Source organism: Homo sapiens, chromosome 12, assembly GCF_000001405.40.
Source record: "Homo sapiens chromosome 12, GRCh38.p14 Primary Assembly".
NCBI lineage: Eukaryota > Metazoa > Chordata > Mammalia > Primates > Hominidae > Homo > Homo sapiens.
In genome coordinates, this window is record NC_000012.12 from 130,315,616 (window position 1) to 130,325,849 (window position 10,234).

Here is a 10,234-nt window from a genome sequence, read left to right on the forward strand (position 1 = left end):
TTGGAGTTGCACCAAAGTTTTTGGTTCCTAAGATCAACAGATGACTCTAATCCTTTAAAAGTTGAGAAACCCATGTTGTTAGGCATGGGGGCATGAGTTAGCAGTTCTTCCATGCTTTCTCGGTAGATAAGAAGTTGCAGGCTTCTATTATTAGATCCACAATCTAATGTTTTGGTTACACTATATAGCTACAGCATGCAAACCTCATAATTGTGAGTCAGGCACTTCCCATATGAGGGAATCACTTGTGGTACCCAGCGTTGGCAGCAACAAATGGAGACTGAGAAAGTTGAATCAATAGCACAGATGCTCAGATCTGGAAAGAAGCAAAGCTAGAATCAAGTGTGGTGCTCAGAGCCCTGATACTTTCCACCCTCTGACCTAAGCATGGTGAGATAACGTTCTAGTCTGGGTATAATGAGCTCACGGGTGCCCTACTATTTTTCTTTAATCAGGCACTGTCTCAAATTTTAAGTAAGAAGCACGAGAAACTAAACCATTCCAACATTCCACAACCAGGGCACCAAAGTTATGGTAGCTAGAAAAAGCAATCTTTTAAACTCTATTGTATGACACTAGTCATCTTTTTATTTTTTGAAAAAATGACAAAATGTAGCTCAAAGATCCAGTACTTCAGACACTCACATTCATCTTGAGCAGCAAGAAAATATTTTCTCAAACGCGAGCCTGTCTGCGGATTAAAGGCAAACATTTCAAAAATTATTCTGTAGCTTAAGAAAACATACTTCAACAATTACTGTTTCCTTTTCCATGTAACCAGATTCACTGTACATTACAACCTTAAAGCTAAGATCTAAGGTTTAGATCAACTCTTTAATCCTGGCTGTGGCTTTGGGTACTTCCTGCTCTTCATGAGAAGGGCTCTAGGCCTGCAGCTGCCTGTGAACAACATCAGGAAAAAAGAAAAGAAAGTTAAAAAAGAACTTAGCTGACTGGGAACAAGGTTCTATAGCATTGCAAAGGTTAAGCTATGGCATCTGAAAATCTGACACTTGAAGAATGCATAGCTTAATGACACAACTCAACCTCTGTGCCCTTTAGAGAGCTTCATGTCAAATAAAATAACTTAGAAGAGAAGTGGCAGGTAATATCCTTCTTGTCAACTATTTAACTTAAAAAAAAAAGTTTGCATGCCAGGAACACCTAACTCTGTTTTTCTCAATTGAATCCACTTTTGTCTTAATTTGATATACTGCTTTGTGGATTTGCCTAGCTTTGTGAATTCCTTGGTTTTCATCTATATCACCTTAGTTTGACTCTACTACAGACATTAAAATGATACAGGCATGGAGGGAAGCCCAGCAAATGGTGCTGACGCTCACACTGTACTTCGTGATGCCAGGCAGAATCTTCATGAGCGTGGATTCGTGTGTGGATGTGAATCCCGGTTCCATAACTTACCAGCCTGTGGCCTTGAGCAAGTGACTGAATCTCTCTGGGCCTTCACTGTTTCCATCTGTCAACTAGTCACAAGACTACGGACTCGGCAGACTTGCTGTGAAAACAAAGCGAGATGGTAAATATCAAGTGATTTGCAACCTCTAGCGCCCTGATCTTATTTATTGAATTGTATTCCATAGACCCCCCCGTGCTTCACACTTCAATGTGCTGCTGCTAACTTTATTGTCACTAAGGTAAAAAGTTACCTTAGATGTTCCTTAGAAAGGAGAGGAGGTCGTGCAGTCTTACCCTCTTAGAAAAAGAAAATGCCCTGGTTCCACACATGTGGAACCTTTAGGGAGAAAGGAGACATCGGTTTCAGTTACATCAGCTGAATAAAGCAGGAAATTCAAGTTCAAAGGTGTCATGAGAATTTCCCTTTCCTTTTCCTTTATTCCCCTCCCATTTTTACACCATTTGCTCTCACCAGAAATGTTTGTTTCTGGCTTCTGGCCCAAGATCTTCTAGAGTATATTTAACACAGCATAGGAGATGCTGTGGTCTCCCGATAAAAATCGAGTGAATACCAGGATTGTGGTTGTTTCTCCATAACTCCTGACACCCGAATGCACCCCTGACCCTGTTATTTATTCCAGCTTTTCTTAAATAAAACCAGGCTGTGTCAAAATCCAGCTTGACTCAGCAGCATGCAAAGACACTGCAACCTCCAACACTTGAACCTTATCCTCAGTGGCCTGGGAACGTCTCCCACTCCTCTGCCTGCAGTTAGAGTTGAGTCCAAGTCTTCACACCTTGAAAATCACTCAGAGACGAAGTGTCCAGACTTTTGTAAATGTCCTGCCCCATGTATTTGAACTAACTCCTACTGGTAAAGTTGAATAAATCAGACATTTACTCAAGTCTGCAAGTACAAATGTAACTTGAAGCAGCAACGGAAAGGCGGAATTTTCCTTGCACCCTCTCCTTTCCTGTGTCCTCTTCCTTTGCAAGTTCGCAGACAGCTCCATCTCCCTGAGTGCCACCGACAACACCCACTAACAGCTGTCTATGCTGACAATTCCGATCTCCCCTGGCATCTCATTCCTGTTTACACTTGCACATCAAATGTGCCTTTGGAAAATTCCCTGATTTCTTGTGTCCTGTTTTCTTTGTTCTATTTCTATTTTGAGATGACATATAAGGGAAACAACTTATTGTAGCAACAGGGAAGTGATAGGAAAGTGAACCAAACTATGCACACACACACACACACACACACACACACACACACACACACACAAGCCAGAAACAGAAAACCACAGGCTGCAAGAAAGTAAATCTCAAAGCCAAGCCTTCCCAAGTAACCACCGGCCACGGCTCATCTGGTAGGATCCAGTGAGGTGAACTGTGGATTTGTTTGGGGAAAACTGTATATAAAATGGCAGGTAGGCTGGGCACAGTGGTTTACGCCTGTAATCCCAGCACTTTGGGAGGCCAAGATGGGAGGATCACTTGAACCCAGGAGTTTGAGATCAGCCTGAGCAATATGGTGAAACCCCATCTCAATAAAAAGCACAAAAATTAGTTGGGAGGAGGCTGGGAATGGTGGCTTATGCCTATAATCCCAGCACTTTGGGAGGCCAAGGGGGGCCCAAGGTCAGGAGTTCAAGACCATCCTGGCCAACGTGGCAAAACCCCATCTCTAGTAAAACTACAAAAATTAGCCAGGTGTGGCGGTGTGTGTGTGTAATCCCAGCTACTTGGGAGGCTGAGACAGGAGAATCGCTTGAACCCAGGAGGCAGAGGTTGCAGTGAACCAAGATCGCACCACTGCACTCTACCCTGGGTGACAGAGCAAGACTCCATCTCAAAAAAAAAAATTAGTTGTGAGGGGTGGTGCGCACCTGTAGTCCCAGCTACTTGGAAGGCTGAGGTGGAAGAACTGGTTGAACCCGGGAGGTTGGGGCTGCAGTGAGCCGTGATCATGCCATTGCACTCCAGTCTGGGAAACAGAGCAAGACCCTGTCTCAAAAAAAAAAAAAAATGGCACGTCACCAGCTTCTCTGGAATGTCACCAGCTATACCTAAACACCAGTGCCTGTTGCTGGCACCTAGCACTGCCCTCAAGATACAGGCTCCACTCTTTGGAACAGGCAGCAAGGGGACTCCAAGACAGAGCACCTGGGGATGGGATATAGCTTAGTTCCCACCAGAGTCGCCCCAGATGAGCATAAAATTGAAGTATAAACAGCTTCTTGATATGCACAGAGGTAACGCCACTGCCCCAAAATCCATGGCCACCCCGGTCTTATCATGAAAACTCCGGAGCTGGCACCGTTGCCCAACGCTGTGACAAATGAAACACCAAGGGAGGACAGTATTCATGGACATTTGTTTTAATTTGTAGCATTTAATGAAGTGGGAGAGGCCAGGGAGAGGCCTTCAACCATTTCAAACTAAAAACAATCCATATCTGGAAATAGAACTTTGCGGAGTTGGGGCTGGGGTGGGCACGTGGCATCCTGAGTATTTCGTGAACACAACACTGGTGTTGACAGGTTTGGTTGTGATTAGACTTCCTATCCCTGCTCCCCCAACCCCACCCCCATCGCAGGGCATTTAAATAACATCGTAAAAAGGCTTTGTGAATCCCTCTCTTTACCTTTCCAACAAAGCTGAGCTCAGATGATTCTCAAATCATATTTCTGTAGCTTTAACCCCCTGACCCCCAGGAGAGCTCGGCAGGCTACTATATAATAAAATTCTCACTGTAGGGAAACCGCCCAGGGCAAGTTCAGTACTATCAGGAGGGACCATGCTGTGCATAACTGTGCTCCGTTTTGATGAAATATTCATCTATATTGATATTGGAGCAATCAAATTATGGTTGAAAAGCTCTGTAACCTCTTTGTGAGCTCAGTCTCGACATGTTAAATGTCATTCTTTCAAAGGGTCACCGTGATTTTGATTTGGTGGCTGGATTCCCGCCCTTTACAATGAAAATGAAAACACAATTAAAACCTCTGATCCCCTAAGCTGACATCAACAGCTACTGCTTGATTATCTTTTAATGGAAATAAACTGTTGTTCTTTTATTTTTATCATTTTAAAAGGAATGTATTTTCACAAAAAAATGATACAAAACGCATTCAGTGGAAAATAAGCATGAATACTGCTACTCTCCAGAATATCCGACCTTCCAGATCTATAGATTCACTGCAATATGCATGCACATGCATGCCACATGCACACACACACACACACACACACACACACACACGGGGAGTAGTTCTAAATACGTGGAGAGACAGAATGAAATACAGGAGAGAAAAAGTAGAGGAGCCAAGAATAAGGCAGGAGACAGGAGGGGAAGGAAGGAGAGCAAATGGGAGGGCCAGAGAGGGACAGGAATGGGAGGAGAGGAGAGGGGATGAGAGGGGAGGGAAGGGGAGAGGACATATATTCTAAGAAGAGGTCATATAATACAAGCAAGTTCACAACTATCTTTTACCAATAACAATAAATTGTGTATTTTTTGATGCCAGTAAACATAGACCTACACATAATTTTTAGTGGCTGCAGATATTACTGCTGTACATACTGTAATTTATTCCAACATTCTCCTCCGAATGGACATTTCTGTTGTTTTCACATAGCCTGTTTTAAGGACATCTGTTTTCTATCATTTTAGCTGGAGGTTGACTCAAACACAACTGTCCCTAGAGTGCATTAATAAAAGCCAAATTTGAACAGTATTATCAGTTATCTAGCTCTCAACTGTTATCAACTCAGTTTTTAGGAATGTATTAATATTCCCTTGATTTAAATATGTCAGATCTCCTTGAGGAACAAAACGGATTGGCATAGAGAAGAAATAAACCTAATCCAAATGAAAAGAATAATTATGAGAATGAGGCTACATTCGGGAAATATTCTAAGATCCCAAATGTAAATGTAAAAAAAAAAGTTAGATATATATCTGTAAAATTGGTATATTTGCATACATTAATAACCTTGACTTTCAAACAATGAGGTGCCTTCTTCATTATGGTATTACACTCATCAAGGGTGTATTTTTAAACTACACCAAACCAAAAATCTAGCCATCTGTCTTTAGAACCAAAGAATACATGTCAGCCACATGAATTACTTTATATGAATCTACAAATATCATATCATTATATTGATAGACTCAAACAGACTCATCGACTATAGAGAATTGTGTCAACATGATCGCAATGCATCAATTTACTATGCACTGAAATATATGTGTATTGATTTAGGTAGAGAAATACAAACACGTGGACGGGGTCTTTGGGCTTAATCATTTATTAATCATTTAGCTATTAAGAACATGCATTGAGGCTCCAAAGAGAACTGGACTCACAAGCTGTTGATTCTAAGTGTGTGGTGCCCTTGAACAAGTTCCTTAATCCATGCAAGTCTCAGTTTCTTCATCTGTGAAGCAAGGATGAGTGCAGCACTTAGCTCCCAGGAGTAACATTCTTAACCACTCAGCCCGGTGCCTGATACCTGCAAATATTCAGTACACATTGGTTATGATGGTGATGGCGATGATGAAAGAAGAAAGGCATCGTTTAAGCTGAAGCTAATGATGATGAACAATGCTGGACATGGAAGCAAAGTTTATAGCTGATCAATGATATCATTGGATCTGAGGGCAAGTGGGAGGCAGGAAGAGTGTTCCAGGCAGAAGGAATGGCACCTGCAGCAATCCTGATATGAGAGAGAGCTCATAGTGGGGAAAGGAGCCGAGTCCGGTTTGCTGTGGCTGGGGACAATGGAGAAAGGTAAGGAAGGTGACAGCGCCCAGGACAGGCTGAGCCTTGGGGCCCATGCGGAGATCATAGGAGGATTTTCTATCGAGTGCCAGGATCCAGTGTAGATGATCTACATGAGCTAAAGTAAAACAGATATTGGAATGAAACACCATCGTTTTGGATGGAACAATGAAAATTCATGAAGATGTCCATTTTTCCCAAATCAACATACAGGTTTCTGACATGACCAATTACAACAGAACTTTTCTTGGAGCTTAACGGTGGTGTCACAGTAGCATTAACAGTAACAGCTATCCTTTAAAGAGTGTCCAGGGTGCAACAGATATGGTGTTCAGCATTTCTTTAAATTTTATCTCATTTTATCTTCATAACAACCCTATGGACAATTATTTCCATTTTTATAGTAGTTTTATTATATATATCATACAATTCACTCATCAAGGGTATAATTTAAGGTATAAAACAAATGACTTAGTATATTCAGAGTTGTGCAATCATCACCACTATTTTAGAACATTTTCATCACCCTCAAAAGGAACCACGTACACATTAAAAGTCACTTCTCATTTCAACTCAATCTGCCTAGCCCTAAGCAATCACTAATCTAATTCCTGTCCCTATCGGTTAGCCTACTCTGGACATTTCATATCACTGGAAACTTTCAATATGTGGTTCTCTGTGACTGGCTTCTTTCACCTGGCATAATGTGTTCAAGACGCATCTGTGATGTGACATATAGCAGTCCTTCATCTTGTGTACTGCTGAATAATATTGCATTGTATGGGTCCACCACACTTTCTTCATCATCCAGTTGATGAATGTTTGGGTTGCTTCCACTTGGGTGGATTATTTATGATATTGTTATGAATATTAATGTAAACATTTTTGCTTGGATATATGTTTTTATTTCTCTTGGATATAAATCCAGGAGCAGAATTGCTGGGTCCTGTGGTATCGCTATGTTTAACCACTGAGAAACTTCTGGACTATTTTCCAAAATAGCTGCATCATTTTACATTCCCACTAGCAGTGTACAGAAGAACCAGTTTCTCCATGTCCTCACTCACACTTGTTCTTTTTATCATAATCATGTTAATGGATATGAAGTGGTATCTCATTGTACTTTTTATTTTATTTTTCTTGATAATAATGATACTGAGCATTTTTTGGTGTGCTTATCAGCATTTGTGTACCTTCTTTCTCTGTTCAGATCCTTCGCTCATTGGATTGTCTTTTTATTATTGAATTGTATGAATTCTTTATATCTTTTAGATGCTATTCCGTCATCAGATTATTTATAAGTATTTTCTCCCATTCTTTCACTTTCTTGTTTAAGCACACAATTTTTAATGTTGATGAACTTCAATTTATCTTTTTTTATTTTGTTTGTGTTTTTATTGTCATATCTAGAAAATCATTTCTTAATCCAAGGTCAGGAAGATACAATCCTATGTTTTCTTCTAAGAGTTTTATAGTTTCAGCTCTTGCTTCTAGGTTTTGATCTATTTTGAGTGAATTTTTGTATGCGGTGTGAGGTAGATATTCAACTGCATCCTTTTGCATGTGGATATTCAGTTTTTCCATCATTGTTTGTTGAAAAACCTATTCTTTCCCCACTAAATGGTCTTGGCACACTTGTCAAAAGTTATTTGACTGTGAATGTGAGAATTAACTGTTGAATCTTCAATTAAATTTTATTGATCTATATCTATCCTAATGGCAGAACTACAATGTTTTGGTTATTGTTGCTTTGTGGTAAATTTTGAAATTGAGAATTATGAACCTGCCAACTTGATCTACTTTTTAAAAATTGTTTTGGCTCTTCTTGATCTCTTGCATTTTCTTATAAATTTTAGAATCAGCTTGTCAGTTTATGCCAAGAGGCCAGCTTGTATTTCAACAGAGATTTATTGAATGTGTAGGTCAATTTCAGATATTTCCATTTTAACTATAGTAAGCCTCTGACTCATGAATATTGAATATCCTTCCATTTCTTTAGGTCTTCCTTAATTTCTTTCAACCATATTTCTTCATTTTCAGAGTATAAGTTTTGTGGTTCATTTGGTAAATTTATTCCTAATTATTTTATGCTTTCTAATGTGCTCATAAACAAAATTGTGTTCTTAATTTCATTTCTGATTTGTTCATTACTAGTGTTTAGAAGAAGTATAGTTGATTTTCGGAACTGATGTTGTATACTGTGTGATGAACTTGTTTCTAGTTCTAATAGATTTTTACTGTAATTTTGAGGATTTTCCATATATATCACATTATCTGCAAGCAGAAATAGTTTTACTACTGTCTTTCCAATCTGGATGCCTTTTGTTCAACTTTCTTGCCTAATTAGCCTGGCTAGAACCTCTAGGACATTGTTGAATAGGAATGGTGAGAGCAGACAACTTTCTCTCCTTCTAGATCTTAAGAAGAGAACATTCAGTCTTTTGCCACTGAGTATGATATTAGCTGTGGATTTTTTTTATAGATTTCCTTTTTGAGATTGAAGAAGTTCCCTTCCAATGCTAGTTTGTTGAGTGTTTTTTATCATGAAAGAATGTTGAATTTTGTCAAATACTTTTTCTTCATAGAAATGACCATGTGATTTGGGTACTTTAATCTATTCATACAATGTATTACATTAGTCGATTTGTAGATGTTAAATCAACCTTTCATTCCTTGGATAAATTCCACTTGGTCATGGTGTGTGATCTTTTTTATATGTTTCTGAATTCAGCTTGCTAATATTTTGTTGAGGATTTTTGCACCTGTATTCATAGGAATATTGGTCTACAGTTTTCTTGTAAAATATTTGACTGGTTTTACTGTCATGGTAATACTAGCCTCATTAAAAAACTTGGGAAATAGTCCTTCCTATTCTTTTTTTGGTAAACATTTGTGAAAGTTTATGTTAATTCTCTTTTTAATTTGCAGTTATATTTACAAGTGAAGCCATCTGGACCTGAGTTTTTTTCTTGTAGGTAGTTTTTAAATTATTAACTCAAAGTTTTTACTTGTTATAAGTCTACCCAATTTTCTATTTCTTCTTGAATCAGTTTTAGTAGTTCTTGTCTTTCTATGAATTTGTTCATTTTATCTAATTTAGCTAGTATTATTTTCATTTTATAAATGAAAAAACTTAGGCTTACACAGATAAGAAACTTTCCCCAGGAATAAAGCTAATAAACAGTCCTATCTTATGCCAATCTCAAACTCAGGTCTGTTTGAATCCAATATGTGCAGCTTTACCCACTTGATGAAATAATTCTATGTCTTATCTAGAAGAAAGAACAACAATATAAAACAATATTCTGGAAAGAAAAATTTTTAAAGTGGATGACAAGTTCTATCAGATATTAAAACACATTATAAAACAATAATAATTAAAACAGTGTAGCACTGACACAAAGCTAGATAGACAGTTCATTACAAGAGAATCAATAACTGGAAAATAAATACACACACACACACGTACATATCAACATATGATTGGAGTGCTTGTCGCAGTATTGTCCATGGCCCAACCAACATCCAATATCCTCTTCCTCCTTCCTAGGAGAACCTGACTTTATTGAATCCATTTCCCATTCAACCATGGACCTGAGGCTGGCCCTCACTGGTTTTAGGAATATGTCACTCCCTTGCTAGTGATTAGCTCATACAAAGATACAATACACATTTCTGGCCATTGAGACATGAGAAGAGGCTTGCTACTATTCCCAGAATCACTGGCTTTCTAAGACTGTTTACTGTTTAGTAGAGATGGGGTTTCTCTCATCTCAAGTCTTCTTTTAACTATCTTCCTGGAAATTCTTTTATCTATTAGCCTATGTAAAACACACCCTGCAATGGCTTTCTGAGAAAGGGAAGTAAGTGATTAATTACTTGCATGTTTCAAAATGTCTTTATTCTACCCTGGGCTTGATTGATGAATGGGGTTTGGTAGGGCAATCTGTGGTGGAAATCATTTCCCTCAGGATGTGGAATATATCCTCCCCTGAATTCTAGCTTTCAGTGTTGATGTTGAGTAGTCTAAT

General features: G+C 38.9%; 1 long non-coding RNA gene across 2 annotated transcripts; it reads right to left on the minus strand.

The window, feature by feature from the left end:
• Positions 1–594: 594 nt before the first annotated feature.
• Positions 595–1,782, minus strand: LOC107984480 (uncharacterized). Of its 2 annotated transcripts, none has more exons than XR_001749179.1 (3): positions 1,711–1,782; positions 1,423–1,516; positions 595–900 (listed from the first exon to the last, which is right to left on the minus strand). It is a non-coding gene; the product is annotated as an uncharacterized LOC107984480 (long non-coding RNA). The 2 variants fall into 2 exon arrangements; XR_001749178.1 differs by having other exon boundaries at positions 1,668–1,751.
• Between the last annotated feature and the right edge of the window lie 8,452 nt (positions 1,783–10,234).